The sequence below is a fragment of the Homo sapiens genome, chromosome 15, assembly GCF_000001405.40.
Source record: "Homo sapiens chromosome 15, GRCh38.p14 Primary Assembly".
In the NCBI taxonomy this organism is placed as follows: Eukaryota; Metazoa; Chordata; class Mammalia; order Primates; family Hominidae; genus Homo; species Homo sapiens.
Genome location: NC_000015.10, coordinates 32,928,118 through 32,950,603, shown reverse-complemented (window position 1 = coordinate 32,950,603; position 22,486 = coordinate 32,928,118). Strand labels below are relative to the sequence as shown.

The following is a 22,486-nucleotide window of genomic DNA, read 5'->3' as shown; positions in this document are numbered from 1 at the left end:
GTATGTGGTTTTCTGTTCCTATGTTAGTTTACTAAGGAGTATGGCCCCCAGCTCCATCCATGTGCCTGCAAAGTCATGATCTCATTTTATTTTATGGCTGCATGGTATTCCATAGTGTATATGTACCACATTTTTTAAAATCCAGTCTGTCATTGATGGGCATCTATAGGTTGATTCCATGTCTTTGCTATTGTGAATGGTGTTTTAATGAACATACATGTGCATATGTCTTTATAACAGAATGACTTATACTCCTTTGGGTGTATACCCAGTAACAGGATTGCTGGGTCTAATGGCAGTTCTGTCTGTAGGTCTTTGAGGAATTGCCACATTGTCTTTCACAATAGTTGAACTAATTTACTCTCCCACCAACAGTGTAAAAGCATTCCTTTTTCTCCACAGCTTTGCCAGCATGTTATTTTTTGACTTTTTAATAATAGCCATTCTGACTGGTGTAAGATGGTATCTCATTGTGGTTTTGATTTGCATTTTTCTCTAATGGCCAGTGAAGTTGAGCTTTTTAATATATATATATATATATATATATATGTGTATATATATATATATGTGTATATATATATATATGTGTATATATATATGTGTATGTGTATATATATGTGTGTGTATATATATGTGTGTATATATATATATATATATATATATGCTTTTTGGCCTCATGCATGTCTTTTTTTGAAAAGTGTCTGTTCATGTCCTTTGCCCACTTTTTAATGGGGTTGTTTTTTTCTTGTACATTTGTTTCAGTTCCTTACAGATGCTAGATATTCAACCTTTGTCAAATGCATAGTTTGCAAAGTTTTTCTCCCATTCTGTAGGTTGTCTGTTCACTCTGTTGATAGTTTCTTTTGCTGTGTAGGAGCTCTTTAGTTTAATTACATCCCGTTTGTTAATTTTTGCTTTTGTTGTAATTGCTTTTGGCATCTTCATCATGAAATATTTGCCTGTGCCTGTGTCCTGAATGGTATTGCCTAGGTTGTCTTCTAGAGTTTTTATAGTTTTGGGTTTTACATTTAAATGTTTAATCCATCTTGAATTCATTTTTGTATATGGTGTAAGGAAAAAGGGGTCACTTTCAGTCTTCTCCATATGGCTAGCCAGTTATCCTAGGACCATTTATTGAATAGGGAATTCTTTCTCTATTGCTTGTTTTTGTCAAGTTTGTCAAAGGTCAGATAGTTGTAGGTGTGCCGTCTTATTGGTGGCAGTGAATAGGTTCTCTGTTCTGTTCACTTGGTCTATGTGTTTGTTCTTGTATTAGTACCATGCTCTTTTGGTTACTGTAGCCTTGTAGTATAGTTTGAAGTCAGGTAGTGTGATGCCTCCAGCTTTGTTCTTTTTGCTTAGGGTTGCCTTGGCTATTCGGGCTCTTTTTTGGTACCATATGAATTTTAAAATGGAAAAACTTCCTTATTTTTAAAAATACATGATCACACCCATAAATAAATTGAGTTAAGAAAGTAATTATAATGGAATTTTAAAAACACTTAGCAAAAAACAAAAATACTGATAAGACTCATAGGATGTAGCTGAAATGTATAGTCATGAGTATTTATATTAGAAAAGCAAAAGATAGATCAAAAATCAGTTAAGTGCCTTAAATCAATAACTAGAAAAATACAAAAAAATCAAAGAAATTAAAAGGAAATATTAGGTTGAACAGCAGGAAAAAGCCATTTTTACAGGTTAAATATGTCAAATATTTGCAATTTTCTGTGGTTTAACCTAATACATTTTAAAAGATGAGAATGGAATTTTTTAAGTTAATAGAGAACATCAATTAAAGACAAAAGTTTCTTCTTTGAAAAAAAAGAATAACATTCAAAAACTTTTTGCAAGATTGAGCAAAACAAGCATAAGTAATATTAAGGAAGTAAAAGTGAATGTAACTACAGATGCAATAGAAATGTATAATACAATACCATGAACAAATTTTTGCCAATAAATGAAAATAATATGAAATAATTTTGTAGAAGACTGTGAATGATCAAAACAGTCAAGAAGTAGATCACCTGAATGGTTCCGTAAATATTAAGGTTAATTAAATTAGTAGTTTAAAATCGTCACACAAAATGCGAGGTCCAGCTTATTTTATTACACTAAGCATGTCTTTCTTACACAAAATATTAGATAATAGAAAATAATATTAAACTCAAGACTAGTATATATAATCTTGATAGCACAACCAGACAAGGGCAGAAGTAAAAGAAACTACAGGACAATTTCTCTCATAAATATAGATATGAAGATCTTAACCAGAATATTAGCAAATGAAATCCAGAAATATATAAAAAAATGTTTGATAATTAACTGATTTATTCCAGACTGGCAAATTTGATTCAAAATTAGTAAATGCTTTTTATAAATAATTAAAATGTTAATAGATTAAAGGGGGAACTATATAATTGAAAGATGATGGCAAAATATTTGATTAAATATGATTATGATTTATAATGAAATTTTGTAACTAAGATTGTAAGGGAATAGCTTTAGCCTCAAAAAGAGTGTCCACGAAGCAGGCATGTGACAAGGGCATATTTGGTGAAAATTTGAAAGCTTTCTTTTTGAGATCAGTACGAAATAGGAATATGATACACATTTCTACATCCTTTATTTAATCTAAGCAAGTGTAATAAGGCAAAGAAATCAAATAAAATATATTGGAAAGGAAGAAATGAAACGATGAATTGTGATTTTTCAGCATAGAAAATCTGTATTGACAAATTTAAAAAATGAGAGAATAGAGTAAACCTAGTAGATATGAGATCAGTACCACAATAATCAATTGCATTTTTATACACTATTAAGTTGGAAAATAAAGATACCATTAGAGGGACATAAAATAAGAATAAATCTAAGCAAATATGGTCGAGTCAGTGTAGAAAATTATTCAACTTTATTGAAAGCATTAAAATAGACCTAAATAAAAAGAGAGACATAATTCTCTTCATGAATGGGAAAGCCAATATTATAAAGATGTTAATTTTTCCCAAATTTCTAGTTTCAAAGTCATTTCAATCAAAATCTAAGAATTACTTGGAATTTAACAAGCTTATTCTAAAAATTTGCATGCAAGAACAAATGTTCAAAAAACAACTCCAAAAAAGGAAAACTAAGTGGGAGATATTCTACCTCATATAAAGGAAAATAAGGTAATAAGAGCTAGTAGAGTGGCTATAGTATGGCAGTAATTGTCACAGGAAAAACTAAATAAATAAATAATGAGTGAAAAGAATTGAGAGCTCAGAAGCAAATCTATGCATATATGGAAACTAATACATGACAAATGTGGTATCTCAGATCAGTGGGCAAAATTGACTATGAATAAAAGTATTTTAAAAATTGAATATATATGGCAAAAAAAGGAAAATGGATCCCTACCTCACTTCATGAATAAAAGACAATGCCAGATGTAACAATGAGAAAGGAAACATTTAATAATTTTTGAAAATAATATAGGAGCCTATCTTTTGGCCTTATACGGAAAAGACATGGAAAGCACAAAACAAATAATGAAATGTGACTACATTAAAATAAAATCATTGACATGAACTCTTGCTCATCAAGACACCTTGAAGAGTATAAAAAGATAGGCCACATGCTTGAAGACATTTGTAATACATATAGCTCAATAAGAATTGTTATCCAAAATGTTTGTGGAATTCTTACCAATCAGTAATAAAAAGAAACTATGCTACCTGATTGTAGTAGATGGAATTACAGATCATGCACCTAGTTGCTCCATATGCAGACTTTGAAACAATTCATTTCTATTTAGCTTCTTAACCATTCCTGTCTCCACCAACGCAGGATGCCTCTTACTCGTGTATGTCTGGCATTCTACCTCCCACAGCTATACCTAGGAATTTACCAGTCCTCCAACTTCACATTTTCTGTTTTAAAACTTAAAGGGCTCCCCTAGTTTTATGGAAGATAGATTTTATTTTTCAAATCATTAGGTCTCATAATTTTGGGCTAATTTTTTAGGAGAAGAGGAAGTCGAAAGGCCTTTACCACCCCAAATTCCAAGTGAATTTGATTCTCATATCTTAAAGGCTATTCCCTTGTTGCAATATGACTAATTAGGAATGTACATCTTTGCTGGAATAATTATTTCAAGGGAGAGGCCACAGGACTAGAAGTCAGGCATCTAGGCATCTCTGGGCAAATCATCTACCATGTGTGTTACACCCTTGTTGATCTAAGAGAACCTCTGGGTGCATATGCTCATGGTTCCAGTCAAGATGGGTGTAGACGCTCACTCTTCATGGATGGCAGTGGGTAGGTTTTTTCAGTCACTATGTTATGCCATTCACCTGAAAGCCTGAATGATAGTGTATGATACGCACTTGCTTCCCGTGATAGCTGTGCTATGAGAGTAAGAAGGAGGATAAGACTAATTACGGGGGAAATGTGCTGGGACATAACACCGCAAACCCTAACAAAATCTTGCAGCAGTTCTAAAATATCTACTAAAATACAGTAATATTTCATCTTTCTCTTTTTACCAACATTTCGTGGAATATTTATTTTATATTCATGGAAGGAACTCAGTGAACCTGTTGGAAGCAATATGGCACTTACATATCAGCAGCTGTTAGCCAGAAAATTAACAGAGTGGAGTGACTTGGGTTGTAAGTAGTGTACATTATGGCAATGGCGGCAAATGAAGACTATGCGAGAAGTTGTCTGCAAAAGGAAAATGTGAGGTGCCCTAAGTATCTTTAAAGGAAGAAGTGTTTCCCTTGGAGTTCTGTCTCAGATTTTGCCTTCCAGTGGCTTGAGGCACTGCAGCTAGGGGTGCTCACTCTTGCTGGCTCTTCACCTCTACACAGGAGTGGGAAAGAGCCAGGTAATTTGCATCGTGGATACCCTCTAAATCAAAGGCCATCCATCATTTCTGATATCTTGAATGCAATGATTATCATATCAAAGACATATGATGACATTGAAGATAATAACTTTTCTGTTGCCCATTATCTCTAACCAGCTTGGCGTAATTATTAGCATGTGTTCTTTCCAAAAGCCTAACACTCTAACATGTTGGAAAGAAAAAGCCCTATTTAAGCCACCAAAGATATACGTGTGTGAGACTGGGTTGAAGTTTTTATTATTAGATGAGAAATTATATAGACAAGACAGGAAGTCCAAAGGTCATGCAAACTTTGTTATTTAGAGGTTTTAGGAGGGCACTATGGCTGTCTGTATACTTGGGATTGGCTTTCTATGAGAAAGTTACTTCCAATACTTCCTAAATGAGTACAATAGCTTTAGTAAAGGACTCCGTGGAGATTGATATTCTGAAAGGGGCTCATGGGAAAAACCTCTGGAAATCAGGGATTATAGAAACATACATATATCTATGTATTGGCACCGTGCTAAGTGCCAATGATCAGTAACAAAATAATACATTTATTTAGAGTCACTTCACCCCTCAAAATGTCCATGGACCAGCAGCAACATAATCACCTAGAAGATTATTAGAAATATAAAAATATCAGCCCCTGTATTAGTTTCCTAGGGCTAATTTAACAAACTGTCACCAACTGTTGACTTGAAACAACAAAAATTTATTGTCTCATAATTCTAGAGTCTAGAAGTCTAAAATCAAAGCTGTTCGCAGGGCCAAGCTTTGGTAGCTCTGGTTCTGTCTGAAGGCAGTGAATGCACTGATGTCTCTTGGTCTTTTCTTCCCGCAAGACTCCATGATCAATAGGAAAAAGCATGTGATTTTGTTTGGGGGTTTGTCTTCTACATTACACAAAATCAGAAATCTGCCCACAGCCCTACCCTCCCCCCTCCAACCCATCACACCCCCACACTGTCATAGCCTTCACCTGCTGTGGCCTCCGCATTAGCCTTCTGAGTGGAATTCATCAGCCTGAAAAACAAGAAAAGGGTTTTTCTGTCTCGTCAGGATGGGGATGGGGTGCCAAATACGTTCTCAGACTCAAGACAGGGTGACAATTTGCCTTTTCACATTTCTTGGTGAAGAGCCTAGATCCTTAAAGTAAACTTCATCCAAGCAATTTTATGTGTCCCCAAAAATAAGGCCATGGAAGAGATTCAGACCTAACAGTTTGACTAAACAGTGAAGCTTAGTTTTCCTTGAAACATTTAATGAGACAGATTATCAGCTGTATGTGGAAAGCTTATTTTAATGTCATTATCAGGCCAGTTGACAGAGGCTTCTTCCCAGAGGCCTACCAGGCCATACTGGCCATTAGCAGCAAGAGCTGTTTTGCACCACGTCGGATGACATTGCATAATATGGCACTACACAGCCAGCCAACCAGCTCTTCTGGGTGTGATGGCAGAGTGGCAGGGGATGGAGCAGGGAAGAAGAAGGGGACCAAGGAAACTGAATCAGCATTGTACTCCTGGGCACCTGCCAAGTAACAATTGCATATTTCCAAAGAAGCGGTTATTCTCCCGTAAGAGAGAAAGCAAGATGGCTGTGGTCCTGCCCTTCCCCTTCCCCAGGCACTCCCTTCTGGCACTGGCTGGGAGGAATCATTGCTTACCTGTCCCATTTGTAGTCACTGCCATATTAGAAATCGTAGGGAGGGGACTAGAATAGCCACAGCTATAAAAGGATTCTGCCAGTTGGTTCCCCCATGATTTTTTTCTGTGCATAAGGCCTGTATCCATAGGCTACCATACCTCATTGCCTTGCATCGTTTTGCATCACTTCTTGGAATTTCTTTCCATTGCGAAACTCTCACTCTGTTTTCCCAATTAGATGTCTATTACTTAGAAGATTTTTTGATTTGGATGGCAGTTAAATGAGAATAAAAATTAAACCTAAGGCCTTCTTAATATTCTCTCTCATCTCACAAAGATACTGCTCTCTAATGCAGCTAAAGTTTAGACCCTATACTAATTTATAATTTGGAGGTATTCAAACTAAAGTATCAGTGCAATCATCAGAGCCTGTAGCCCTTGAATAAGTGAAACAATTTCTGCATCTCTAACATAGGATTCTACGTGTCTTCCAACCCACTCCACAAGAATGTCTTAAAGAGAAACATAACAGTCATTATGAAGGTACCTTTATCTATTTGGAAGCCCATGACTTAGAAGTGGGATGACTGTTACTAAGACAAGCTGACTTGTCATCAGTAGCATATCTACTTTTTACCAACCAGCCTCTTAATGTCCATAGTTTGGCCAGGTGGTGGAATTCAGCGAGTATTGATGTGAAGCATAAGCAAGAGATAACACTAGTTTGATGGCACAAAAATAGAAGTTGTATTTTTTAGAATTGTACTTGGGAGAATCAGATTGTCTAATTTATGTGAATTCTCCACGCTGTTGTTCAATCTTACCAAGAAAGGCCAGATCATTTACACACTTGTTCTATATAGCTGACCGTGTACCCTATGTGGATATTTGGTATACAGGTCGAGTATCCCTTATCTGAAATGGTTGAGACCAGAAACGTTTCAGATTTCAAATTTTCCAGTTGAGCATTCCAAATCTGAAAATCCAAGACCTGAAATACCCCACTGAGCATTTTCCTTGAGCACTGTACCAGCGCTGAAAAAGTTCTGGATTTTGAAATACTTCGTATTTTGGAGTTCTTGAGTTTTGAATTTGGGATGCTCGACCTGTATATCATTGTCATGAAAGTAAATGTCTACTCATATATATATGGTTTCTACATTTATTTGTTTGTTTTTGGTGGGGTGAAATAGTTGATTCAGACAGGAAAAGCAGCAACTTTCACATGCCCTTAGTTCCCTGAAGTGCCAGCAGCTATTCATTGGTGATAGCACATGTGGCTGTATTTGAAAAAACTCTCTGCTTATTTGCCAGGCTCTAGGATAAAACTGACTGTGCTGGAGATGGAAACCCTGTGACTGGAACTGAGTATGTTCAAATGTGAAACTTAAGCCAAAGAGCAAAATATGCACTCGATCTGGTATAGGTATGAATGTGTTTGGTGTCTAGCAAAGGTGTAGATGTAGAAATTAATCATCTTCCTTTCAGACAGGGAAGGCTCCATGGAAGAAGAGGGCTTCTGTGTTTCTCTTAATTTTGTAGCTATGCCAAACTCACTTGGCTGAGCAGACTTCCAGCACTTGTGGTCTATTCAGAACCATTTATTTTTATTTTTGGCCCTGTCTGCCAAGCTCAGGCAGAAAGCCGAAGATATACAGTGTACAGATTTTCTGTAGATGTAAAAATCCCACTGGACCTGACAAGAATTCTTTCTCAGCCTGTCTGGCAGAACTTTTCTAGCTGAGGTTGAAGGTATGATTTTCCCAGTGTAGCAAATCTGTCTTCCCATTTTTGTCTTAATTCTTATTCACAGAGGCAGGCTTTAAAAAAATTCACATATGTGAGGAATAATAATAATTTGTCTATACTGGCTTAATGTACAGGTTTAGACAGTGTGGGCCTGCCTTTCCCACTCTGGAAGGCATTGGGAGAGTCCCTTAGGCGATGTAATAGTACGCACGTGTGACATGCCCTAATCCTGGCATGTGGCAGGGGTCTGGAAAGGCTTTGCCTTAAACTAGGCATGTCTAATAGGGTTTAACGCAACCTGTGAATTTGCCCCTGCACAAGGTCAGCTTGTAGGTCAGTGGAATGCTGCACAAATTGCATTCTCCTCCAGACTGTAATTATACCTAGGAGAAAGCCATGTGCTGCCAAGTTCAGCTGACTCTAGATAGGGCGGAGATAAAGTGAGGGCTTGCTAACGTCCCTCAAAAACTGATTTTTAACAATCTGATATAAAACATCTCTTGTTTAAAAAAAAATGGTGATCTTGAGGTTTCTGAAGGAGCTTAGTGTAGGGGATGGTGACCAGCTGTTTCCTACCTTCCCTGAGAGCAGAAAAAGATGGTTCAAAATGGGAGCATGAGGAATTTGAGCCAAACATCAGGTAAAATAGTTCACTGCCAAAAGTCTCTTAATACTAGAAAATGACTTGGAGGATTATTACACATCAGGTAATATGCATATGAGGACAAAGAAGAATGAAAAGTGAGTATGATAAGGGATCATAGACTAGGAGTGGAATGAACAGTTTAATTTGTATTTACAATTAGCTGAAGTAGTGCTCTGTTGTATTGTTTGAGAGAAAATGGCTATAAATGTGTGCATTATCTAAATGTAACCTTTATAATGAAGTGTGCACATTCTTGTAAAGTAAGGTCTATACTTACATACGTGGACTTCTGGGCCAACCCAAAGGCAGAGGGATAAATTAGATGAAATTTGTAGGTTTCTTCAGTGCTAAGTGTTAAATGACTCCAAAATCCAATTCAACCAGAGTAACATTGGATAAGCAAAATCTTACAAATACTTACACTCTCCAGTAAATGTTTTCTGAACTATCTTTCCTGAACAGCCTGTAGTAGCCACTTTTCCCCCCAAGAACCTACATGGAATAAAATCAAGTTGGGAGCTTAAAGCATAAATTCTATCTACTGGCTTCACGTAAACATGGAAAATAATTATTTTGACATTCATATTATTGGTTCCTGCAGCTTGATTTTTTTCGCAGGCTGCTTTTTATGTTACGTGGGGATAAGGCACTAACCTGTGGGCCGGGGCTTTTGGGGAACCTTTCCTTTGTTATTTACCTAAGGCAAGCTAACTAACTCCTTTTAATATGATGAAGCTGGATGCTAATACAGTCAGGAATCCCACTAACGTCTAACAATCAAATGTGATAAACTGACCTCATGGTTTTGTGAAAGCCTCTGCTGCTATTGGGTCTTAATGCCCGGAAGAACCTTTACCCTAGTGGCCATGAAGAATGGTAAGAGTCCTTTCTGTTTGGACACCCAGACCATGAGTTACAGTGTCTTTTGGGGTTCATGTTCTGCAGAGCCTATCATCTCTCAAGACTCTGATGGAGAGGTTTTATAAAAGTGAGATCTGGATTTTTGTTTCGGAAAAAAAGGCACTGGATGTAACATTCTTTTGGGAATGTGTTTGAGTTACGTGGATAAAGATTGTGCTAGAAACAGCCACCTTTTTCAAACTCCCTTTTTAAATAAGAGTCTTGGCATTTTCAAGGATCGTATACCTGAGAATAATTACAAACTCTTTTAAGTTACTGATCTTATGAGTAGCTCCTGTATCCGTTATTTATATATGTTTGCCCTCTTTAAACTAGTCTTTGAACTCCATTGAACAGACACACACACACACACACACACACACACACACACACACACAATTTTTATTTTGTTTGCAGTAGACATGGGAATTTGCGTATTGTGAGGACCGTTGAATTGGACTGTCTGCCTTTCAGCGTTGATACAATGACGAGCAAGGGCAGGCCTAGAAATAGAAGGCTGAAGGCTGGTCTCCTGACTTTTCTCTGAATAACTGGTTTACTACATCATGATGTTGATCCCATTCCACAGCTGGCCAAGAGGTCATTCATGAAAGCTCAGCAGGCAAAGGTTGAAAACTAGAGGGAAGGACTGTTGTAGTTTATGGCTATAGTTCTCAGTTTTTGTATTTCTACTTAGATTGTGATATTGTTGGGAACCTCTTCCTTAGGCCAAACAACTGAAAAATTGTCAAAATAGCACAGAATGCTAATAGCAAACAGAAGCTTAAGGAGTGGGTTGGTGCTTAATAATTAGGTTTTTGAGTTAATTATCAGTTTCTTATAACTTTTGTATTTGAAATCTGTGCTTATGTAAATATATATATTAAATTTCCTACCATAAAAAGAGCAGAATATTAAGTATCTGATAATTTCAGGCAATTTATGATTCTAAAAATTTCCCAGATTATCACTATGATCACCAGTCCACAGCGTTCAGTAAATAAATATATAGATATGGAAGGTGTGATTCGTTGAATTTGATTTCTTTCAAGCACAGTATAAGAGATGTCAATGGATTTGGGAGACTAAATACCCAATATTAGTTTATCTTCATATAGTTTTTCTCTTCCAAGGGGAATTTTTGAAATTCACTTTTTCTGTCTAAAAGTTAGCTTACTAATAATGAATATAATCCAACAAAAGAAAAGCTAGGGAAATTTTCAGTTAATAGATGGTTCAACATAAATTACGTTCTGGTTATTTGAAACTTAACAATGATTCTAAAAAAGCATTCAGAAAGCGAAGTAGTAATATTGGTTGATAACAAATTAAAAAAAAAATCTTTGTCATGTTCCACATCTTTGTTATCACTTTTTCTTGTTCTCTTCATCAGTTTTCTTCACTCTTGTCTTTTTTTCCCCTTAATATTTTCTTCCTCACTACTCTGCAATAAATTCTTCGGTAATGGGTATATATCTGGGTAAGGAGGTTGTAAGATTTGATAATGAACATAAAAAATGAATTACCGTAAAAATTCGGTTAGCTGTGCTTCTTGCTTTAATGCCCCAGCAGTGAGATAGCTATACATACTTTACAGGACTCTTGAGCCTGAAGTATTGTTATCACTCTGGAAAGTCCACAGGGGGCCACTAAAGGAATAAAGGTTTACAGTATTGCAATACTCACTGCCCCCAGTGCACAACTGTCCATTTGGATTGGCTAATGTGCAGAGGAACACAATACCAGTGCTTAGTGGAGATGTAGTAACAGGTCGTTCTATTCCCTCTTCCCTTTGAAAATGACTTTTATGTACAGCAGGCTCTTTGTAAATCTTTTTTCGTCTTATTTAGCTAAGCCCTTATTTAAGTGTATTTGTATTGTACCAGCCTAGTAGATCTAGTAATTGGAAAATATAGCAAAAACAATATAAAGACAATTCATAAGATGTGACTAATAAAAATCATTAAAAATGCAAAATAAAATCATGAAAACACATTTCACCTGTTTTTCAGCCAACAGTTTTAAAATTGGTAATACCTAAAGTGGGTGTGGGAACAGAAAAACAGTTGCTCTCAAATACTTGGCAGGGTAAGTCTAATAAGAAACAATTCTGAAATATTTATCAAATTTTCAAATGGGCATATTATTTGAATGATTTCTATGAGTCCTATGAAAATACAAACTTGCATGACTAAGGATCTCTCTGCCTGCTTGTTCGTTGTAGCATTCTTAACAATTGACAAAATTTGGAACATTTCTTCAGACAGAGTCTTTGCTCTGTCACCCAGGCTGGCGAGCAGTGGCTTGATCTTGGCTCACTGCAACTTCCACCTCCTGGGTTCAAGCAATTCTCATGCCTCAGCCTCCCGAGGAGCTGGGATTACGGGAGTGTGCCACCACACCCACCTAATTTTTGTATTTTTAGTAGAGATGGGGTTTCATCATGTTGACCAGGCTGGTCCCGAACTCCTGGCCTCAAGTGATCCACCCACCTCGACCTCTCAAGTTGCTGGGATTACAGGTGTGAGCCACAGCTTGCCTGGCCAAAATTTGGATGATTTCTAATTGTCCTTTAGTAGGGGAATACTTAAATGATGTGATGTTTTTAGAAATGGCTCTGCCTGCACTGACAAGGAAGTTGTCAGTAATGTGTTTCTACGTGAAAAAAACACGCTACACAGTGAAAAAAAAAAGTGCAACAAAATGTATACTTTTTCTCTCCTATAGTCTTCAAGTTTCTTTTTTCCTCCTGTCTACTTCCAATACATTCTCCTCACACCCTGCTAGCCCAATTTCTAACCAATCTCAGAAAGATCTAAGTGTATATCAAAGTCTTGGGTTGTACTGAACCATTTCTATGTGTGTTCACAAGTCTAATGTGTTATTGTCCTCCATTTGTTTCCTTTCAGTTATTTTGCATATCTTAAGGAAGATCTTTTAAAATATATGTTTCTTCTACTCTTTTTCTCGTTACTCTTCCTTCATTTCTAATTCTTTTCCTTGTAGTTTGTTTGGTACTGTCCTCCAATTATGAAGGAGAGGCCAGCCCCCTTTCAGCGAAGCCTGACTCAGTCTCAGATCAGTCTGCTCTTACTCTCACTACCAACATGTCCATATGAGCCACTTTGTGACTGGGAGCATATTTGGTGGAACCCAGCCACTTTTGTCTTCTCTCTCTATCCATGGATGACATAGCATTTGCCTCTCAGAAACTAAAAGTGGGAAAGGGGGAGGTAATGTCATCAAGATGGTGGAATAGAAAATACCGGATCCTTGTTGCCCCATGGAGATGCCAATTTAATAATACACGGGCCAGTTCCCTTTGTGAGAAATTCAGAAATCAGTTAAGAGGCTCCTAAACCCCAGGTGAGCATGAAACCAGTTGTATTGAAGCTAATAGGAAAATTCATGGCACTCACTCATCTGACTCCCTTTCTGGCACAATACATTGATTTAGAGAAAACTACCTCCTGGCTTCTCCTTTGGGAGGGAGAGAGAAGACTGGATCTTATGTCTAATGTTCAGACTTTTGGGGAGGTACTTTGAAGACTGGTTTCTGTTGTGTGTGAATCTAAGAGCTAACAGGGAAAGATGCCAGGTTGGGAACCACTGAGAAGAAAGATGATGATATGAATTAGTATGCATTCAGTGCAATTGCCCCTCACCCTTGCTCAGGGCAGAGTAAGTGAGAGTAAACCTCCAAATCCTGGCTTCTCCTTGGAGAAGGAAAAAGTCGGAGCATCCGTCCAATGCTCTGGCTTTTCAGAGGGCCGCCCAAGAGACTGATTTCTGTCTTGCCCGACTTGGAGTGCTGATGGGACACAGCATACTCTAGATGCCTGGAGACTGCTGAGAACAAAAAGCTAGGTGGCCTGCAGTACAGTAGACAGAGGCCAATACAGCTCAGCAGCTTCTCCCACATGGACTGCAGGGGAAAGAAGAGTGGAGCTTGTGTCTAGTGTTTCACCTTTTCACAGTGTTGTCCAAGGAACTGTTTTTTCTTCTTCCTCTGCTTCCTCCTCCTCTTGCTCTTCTTCATCTTCACCCATCTTCTTTTCTTCTTCTTCTCCTTCCTTCCTTTCCTTCTTTCTTCTCCTTCCTTCCTTCTTTCTCCTCCTCCTTCTCCTCTTCCTCCCACTCCCCCTCCTCTTTTCTCCTTTCTCCTTTTCCTTCTTTGACTCTGTGTGTTCATGGGACTTGACATACTCTAGATGTTTGGGGGCAGATGAGAACAAAAAGGAGCTGGACAGCTTATACCTCCAGAGAAACTGCAGTACCATAGACAGACACTAGAGAGAGCAGGGATTATGAGCTCCTGAAAAACCAAAATCCCTCTAATTGGGAATTCACATACGTAAGTCCAGAGAATATTTATCCACAGAAAAAGGCTTGAAAATCCCCCAGAGACACTAGCTGGGCTGATTGGCAAAGGTCTTTCACTGTATGAAATCAGTCTGTAAAGAATGAGAATGGTGACTTCTTTTTCACATCCCAACACAAAGTAACAAAGCACACAAAGAAACAGGGGAGCATGGACCAACCAGTGGAACAAAAGAAATCAAACCAATCCTAAAGACACAGATGTATATGAATTACTTGACAAATAATTCAAAATAAATGTCATAAAGATGTTCAGTGAGCTCAGGAAAAAGATACATGAACAAAATGACAGTATCAACAAAGAAATAGAAAATATTATGAAGAACCAAACAAATATTGGGGCTAAAGAATACAATAACCAAATTTAAAAGCTCACTAGTGGGGTTCAGTAGCAGACTTAATGAAGCAGAAGGAGGAATCAGATAAAGAGAGGTCGTTTGAAATGATCCATTTAGAGGAGCAAAAAGAAAAAAACGAAGAGGAGGCTAGGTGCCGGTGGCTCACGCCTGTAATCCCAGCACTTTGGGAGGCTGAGGTGGGCAGATCACGAGGTCAGGAGTTCAAGACCAGCATGCCCAACGTGGTGAAACCTCATCTCTACTAAAAGAACAAAAATTAGCTGTGTGGGGTGGCGCACGCCTGTAATCCCAGCTATTCAGCAGGCTGAGGCAGGCGAATCGCTTGAATCTGGGAGGCAGAGGTTACAGTGAGCCAAGATCACGCCATTGCACTCCAGCCTGGGTGACAGAGCAAGACTCCGTCTCAAAAAAAAAAAAGAGTAAAGAAAGTCTAAGGGATGTATGGAACACCGTCAAGCAGATCAATAGACACATTGTGACAGTTACAGAAGGAGAAGGTAGGAAGGGAGGAAAGTATATTGGAAGAAATAATGGTCAGATATCTGGCGGAAGAAATAAACATTCAGATTGAAGAATCCCGATGGATCCCGATTACAAGAACTCAAAAGACCACACTGAGCACATTATAATCAAACTGTCAAAAGTTAAAGACAAAAAAGAGAATTTTGAAAGCAGGAGGTGAAAAGCAACTCATATAAGGGCACCCCAACAAGACTATCAGAAGATTTCTCAGCATGAACTTGCAGACCAGAAGGATATAGGGTAATATATTCAAAGCAATGAAAGAAAATTACCAAGTAAGAAAACTATATCTAGAAAAACTGTCTATCGGCTGGGTGCAGTGGCTCACGCCTGTAATCCCAGCACTTTGGAAGGGTAAGGCAGGTGACTCACAAGGTCAGGAGTTTGAGACCAGCCTTCCCAACATGGTGAAACCCCATCTCTACTAAAAATACAAAAAATTAGCCAGGCATGGTGGTGCGTGCCTGTAATCTCAGGTACTCAGGAGGCTGAGGGAGGAGAATCGCTTGAACTCAGGAGGCAGAGGTTGCAGTGAGTGGAGATCATGCCATTGCACTCTGTCTGGGCGACAGAGCAAGACTGTGTCTCAAAAAAAAAAAAAGAAAAAGAAAAATTGTCTTTTGGCCAGATACAGTGGCTCATGCCTGTAATTCTAGCCCTTTGAGAGGCCGAGGCGGGTGGATCACCTGAGGTCAGGAGTTTGAGACCAGCCTGGCCCACATGGTGAAACCCCACCTATATTAAAAATACAAAAATTAGCCCAGCATGGCAGGGGACGCCTATAATCTCAGCTACTTGGGAGGCTGAGGCAGGAGAATCGCTTGAACCTGGGAGGTGGAGGTTGCAGTGAGCCAAGATTGCGCCATTGCACTCCAGCCTGGGTGACAGAGTGAGACTCAGTCCTCCCCACCCAAAAAAAAAAAAAAAAAAGGAAAAAAATTGTCTTTCAGAAACAAAAGAGAAATAGATGTTCGTAGATAAATAAAAGTGTAGGGTGTTCATGACCACTAGACTTACAAGAAATGATACAGGAAAGCCTTTAAAGTTGAAATGAAAAGGGCATGACATAGCAACACAAAAGCATATGAAAGCGCAAAGCTTGTAGATAAAGGTATATATACAGATAAATACAGAATACTATAATGATGCGGATAAATCACTTTTAACTCTGGTATAGAATTTATGTCTGCCAGATATTAAAAACAAATATAATTATAAAAATACGTTAATGGATACACAATAGAAAAAATATAATTTGTTATATCAATTACATGAAGTGTGGGAGTGGAGAAGTAAGAGTAGAATTTGTATATGTGATTGAAATTAGCTTAAAATAGATTATTATACCTATAAAATGTTTTATGTAAGTCTCATAGTAACAACAAAGAAAATGCCTATAGGAGATACAACAACAAAAAGAAAAGAATCAAAGCAAGTCACTGTAAGAAACAAAACACAAAAGTCATCAATATAGAAAAAGACAAAACTACAAAAGCTACAAAACAATGAACAAATTAGCAATAATAAGTTCTTGCCTCTCAGTAATTACTTTAAATGCAAATAGAGAAAATTTCTCAGTCAAAAGACATAAAATTGCTAAATGGATAAAAAAAGATGGAACTATATGCTGTCTATAATAGTCATTTTAGACTCAAGGACACAGGCTGAAAGTGAAAAGGGATGGAAAAAGATATTCCAAGAGTTAATTTAAAAAAACCAACAACTGACATCCTTAGCTAAACTAAAAACAATCCAAAAGACAGCAGGGTGGCCATAGTTAGAATTTAAGTCAAAAACTCTAACAAAAGAAAAAGAAGGACACTATTTAATGATAAAAGGGTCAATTCACCAGGAAGATATAACAGTTATATGTGCACCCAACGTACAAGCCAAATATATGAAGCAAATTTTTACAGAACTAAAGGGAGAAATACACAGCAACACAGCAATGGGAGATTTCAATAACCCACTTTTGATAAATGATGTAACAAGATAGATAAACAATAAGGAAACAGAGGACTTGAGCAACACTATATACCAAATGGACATAATGGAAATAGACCATTCCACCCAACAGGAATTGGGTTTTGAAACACATTCTTCTCAAGTGCACATTCTCCAGGATAAGTCACACGTTATGTCAGAAAACAAGCCTTAACAAATTTTTAAAAATTGGAATTATACCATGTATCTTTTCTGACCACAATGGCATGAAACTAGAAATAATAGCAGGAAGAAAACTGGAAACATTATACATACAGGGAAATTAAACAGCACACTTTTGAACAACCAGTGGGTCAAAGAAGAAACCAAAAGGGAAATTGGAAAATATCTTGTGACAAACAGAAACAAAAATACAACATACCAAAACATATGGGATGCAATAAAAGCAGTACTAAGAGTAAGGTTTTAGGGTGAACACCTATGTTTAAAAAGATTTCAAATAAACAACCTGACTCTACACTTCATGGAACTAGAAAAAGAAGGATAAACTAAGCCCAAAGTTAGTAAAAGAAATGAAATAAGGATTTCAGCAGAAAAAAAGCAAAATAGAGTATAGAAAAACAATAGGAAAATAGTCAACACAACCGAGTTGGTTTTTTGAAAAGATAAACAAAATGGACAAATCATTAGCTAAATTAAGGAGAAAAAGAAAACACAAGTATATACAAAATGAGAGAGAAGACATTACAACCGATGCCACAGAACTGGAAGGATTATAAGAACCTACTATGAACAATTACATGCCAAAAAATTGGATAACCTAGGAGAAATAGATCAATTCCTAGAAATGTACAACCTAGCAGGACTGAATCATGATGAAGTGGAAAATCTGAACAGACCTGTAACAAGTAAGGAGATTGAATTAGAAATCAAAAACCTCCAGAGAAAAGCCCAGAACCAGATGGCTTCAGTGGAGAATTCTACCAAACATTTAAAGAATAATTAACAGGGAAGCAGTGCTTCTCAAACTCTTCCAAAAAATTGAAGAGGTCACCCTTCCAAATTCATTTTATGAGAACAGCATTACTCTGATACCAAAGCCAAAGACATTACAAGAAAAGAAAACTACAGGTCATTAGCTCTTACAAATATAGATGTTAAAATTCTCAACAAAGTACTAGTAAACTTAATTGTCTCACTCTGTTTCCTAGGCTGGAGTGCAGTGGCACAATATCAGCTCACTGCAACCTTGGCCTCCCGGGTTCAAGTGATTTTCCTGCCTCAGCCTCCCAAGTAGCTGGGACTACCAGGCACGTGCCTCCATGCACAGCTAATTTTTTGTATTTTTAGTAGAGACGGGGTTTCACCATGTTGGCCAGGCTGGTCTCTAACTCCTGACCTCAAGTGATCCGCCTACCTCGGCCTCCCAAAGTGCTGGGATTACAGGCATGAGCCACTGCACCTGGCCCAGTAAACATAATTTAATAGCACATTAAAAGGATCATATACCATCACCAAGTGTCAATTATCTCTCAAATGCAAGGAAGGTTCAACATATGAATATTTATCAATATGATATATTACATTAAAAGAACAAATGATAAAAATATTTTGATAGATGCAGAAAAAGCATTTGAAAAAACTCAACACTGTTTTCTGATAAAAACTCATCAAACTGGGAATAGAAGGAAATTACCTAAAGAAGGAAATATTCTTTAGAAGGAATAGAAAGAAATAAAGACCATATGCTAAAAGTTCAAAGCTAATATTATAATCAAGGTTGAAAAACCAAAAGCATTTCCACTAAGATCAGCAACAAGACAAGGATGCTCATTCATGCTACTTTATTCAACATAGTGCTGAAAGTCATAGAGACATTAATCAAGAGAGAGAAATAAAAGGCATCAAAGTTGGAAATGAAATAGTAAGATTATCTGTGTTCACAGATATGATCTTATATGTAGAAAACCCTAAGGATTCCCCCAAAAAAGCAAACTGTGAAGAACTATGAAAAACATTCAGCAAACTTACAGGATTCCAAATCAACAAACAAAAATTCGTTGTGTTCTTATAACACAAAAATATTAACTACCTGGAAGGGAAATTAAGAAAACAATTTCATTTAAAGTAACATCCAAAAAAATGAAATACTTAGGAATAAACTGAAGAGGGTAAAAGACTAGTACAGACTAGTTTTGAAAACTATAAAACATTGCTTAAAAAAATTTAGGAAGACACAAATAACTGTAAAGACATCTCATGTTTATGGATTGAAAGAATTAATATTATTGAATGTCTGTATTCCCCCAAAGCAACATACAGATTCAGTGCAGTTCCTCTTAAAATCCCAGTGGCTGCTTTGCAGAAATAGGAAAAAACAATCCTAAAATTTGTATGGAACCACAGAAGACCCTGAGTAGCCAAAACCACCATGAGAAAGAACAAATCTAGGGAACTCACACTTTCTGAATTCAAAACAAATTGCCAAGCTGCAGTAATCAAAACAGTATGGTACTGGCATAAAGACAGACATTATAGGCCAATAGAACAGAATAGAGAACCCAGAAATAAACCCAAGCATATACAGGCAAATGTTCTTTGACAAGGGTGCCAAGACTGTACAATGTGGAAAGGATAGTCTCTCCAACAGATAGTGCTAGGAGAACTGGCTATCCACACACAAAAGAATGAAATTGGACCCTTATCTTGGAACATATACAAAAATCAACTCAAAATAGATTAGAAACTTAAATGTGAGACTTGAAACTATAAAACTTTTTTAAAAAATAGGGAAAAGTCCTCTAAAATTGATTTTGGCAGTTGTTTCCTGGATATAGCATGAAAAGCATAGACCGCCCCCCCCCAAAAAAAGCAAAAATAACAGATGCACAAAGGGGACTATGTTAAATGAAAAAGCTTCTGCTCAGCAAAGGAAACAATCAACGGAGTAAAAAGACAACTTACAGAATGGGAAAAAATATTTGCAAACCATATGTCTGATAAAAATGGGCTAAAGACTTATCCAAACATTTCTCCAAAAAAGGTATACAAATGGCCAATATGTATAAGGAAAAGATGCTCAACATCACTAATCACCAGGGAAATGCAATTCAAAATCACAATGAGATAACCCCTCACACGTGTCAGAATGGCCACTGTCAAAAAAAAAAAAACTGAAAAATACCAAGTTTTTTTGAGGATGTAGACAAAGTGGGACCTTTGTACACTGTTGGTGGAAATGTAAAATGGTGTAGTCACTATGGAAAACAGTATGAAGTTCTTTAAAAATTTAAAAATAGACCAGGGACGGTGGCTCACGCCTGTAATCCCAGCATTTGGGGAGGCCAAGGCGAGCAGATCATGAGGTCAGGAGATAGAGACCATTCTGGCTAACACGGTGAAACCCCGTCTACTAAAAATGCAAAAAATTAGCCGGGCGTGGTGGCAGGCACCTGTAATCCCAGCTACTTGGGAGGCTGAGGCAGGAGAATGGTGTGAACCCGGGAGGCAGAGCTTGCAGTGAGGCGAGATCAAGCCTCTGCACTCCAGCCTAGATGACAGAACGAGACTCCAGCTCAAAAAAAAAAAAAAAAAAAAAAAAAATTTAAAAATAGAACTACCATATGATCCATTAATCTTTCTTCTGGATATTTATCCAAAAGAATTGAAGTCACTGTATTGAAAAGATATTCCCATGTTGCAGCATTCACAATAGCAAAGAGATGGAGACAACCTAAATGTCCATTGATGGGCAAATGGGTAAAGAAAACGTGGTGTGTACATACAGTGGAATATTACTTGACCACAAAAAAAAAAAAAGGAAATCTTGTCATTTGCTACAACATGGATTGGCCTGAGGACATTATGCTAAGTGAAAATAATCTAGTCACAAAAAGATAAATGCTGCATGATTCCACTTATATGAGGTATCCGTGGTGGTCAAACTCAAAGGAATGGAAAGTAGAATGGTGGTTCCCAGGGGCTGGAACAACGGCGAATTGGAAATCTGCTATTCTGTGGGTATAAAATTTCTGTTACGCAAGGTGAAAAAGTTCTAGAAATCTGCTGTATAACATTGTGCTTGTGGTTAATAATGTACTATACATTTAAATTTTTGTTAATAGGATACATTTCATGTTGTGCACTTTTCATAAAAATAAAGAGAAATTAGTGTTAAGCCTTCAAAGCCATGGGAGAAAAAAAAGACGAAGAGACTAAGAGGATTTAGGACATATCATTCTGTGCGCATTGTGTCCCTACCATTGTAGTTGGTTTTGAGAAACCTGGTGGTATTTCACAAGAGTGGCTACATGGAAACATAGAAGGATCTTTTTGAAAATTTACTTAAAAGTAGACAGAGAATTTGGTTCAGGTAGGGAAGAGAATACAAAATGCTCCAACTTCACCACTGCTTAGCTGCCCCCAGCCCCTTTGTAGGAAATCAGCATCAGATTTCCAAACAAAAACGTTTTAAGGCATTAGTCCCAGTAAAGGTAACACTCAGCAAATACCTGGTTGTGCCAAGTCATTCGACAAAATTCCAAGCATGGCTTATGGTGATAACATCCTTTCCACAGTTAAGTCTGGTTGTATAATGGGGTGAGGGGTAGATTTGCCTCATTTTACTCAGGGACAGACAGAATCAATATCTTTCTTGCTCTTTTACTCTCTCGTGATTTCTCTCCTGCTTTCTTTTAATTAGCTAACAGAGAAATGTGCATTTGTACATTACCTTTCTTGTAGGCAGAGTATTACTGGTAGTTTTCAGAGCCCTAACTGGATAGCTTGGTGCGTGTTCATTTGAAGAAACTTTTGCAACCCAGCTGTGATCTTGTCATAAATTTGATCCTGTTCCTGTGTCCTTGTCATTGATGTGTATGCCATGGTTGTGGTTGTATCAGTCACCATCCTGGACACTTAAGAATAAATCTAGTCAATTCCCAAAACGTTTCTCTTTTTGAATTTGCACTCCAGTTAGTTTAGGTGATGCTTTTATTTGCCTTTTTGACTCTACAGCAAACTTCTTACGACTTGATCTGTCTCAGTCACCTCCGCATCCCCAGAATACAAAGCAATGCCAGGCACATGTAACGTGTACAGTAAATATTTTTTGAATGGGTGCATGGCTAAATTGACTTTTCTTAATTTTTTTATTAGATGAAGAAATCATTTGACTTTAAATTTGGGTTCTCTAAGAAAAAGCCAGAAATTGCATTTTTAAGGAAGATATTGTATTATGCTTAATTGCCTTTTTTTTTTGCTTTTCCTTTCATATAAAAAATTACTGAGTACCTTCTCTATTTCTGTTTAAAACTCCTAAAATTCTGTATGCCTCAAGAATCTTTCTAAGGCGAATATTGACATGCTTAAACATATTGACTGAAAAATGAGATTTTTTTCCTTTACATCTTGATTAATACTTAGTATTTACTATCTTTTAGGTCTAATCGTTATATGAAAGTAGCCA

At 37.2% G+C, this 22,486-nt stretch overlaps 1 protein-coding gene across 16 annotated transcripts in view; it reads left to right on the top strand.

Moving 5' to 3' along the window:
• Nucleotides 1-22,486, top strand: part of FMN1 (formin 1) — a 429,171-nt gene that overhangs the window by 244,111 nt on the left and 162,574 nt on the right. The window lies entirely within an intron of this gene.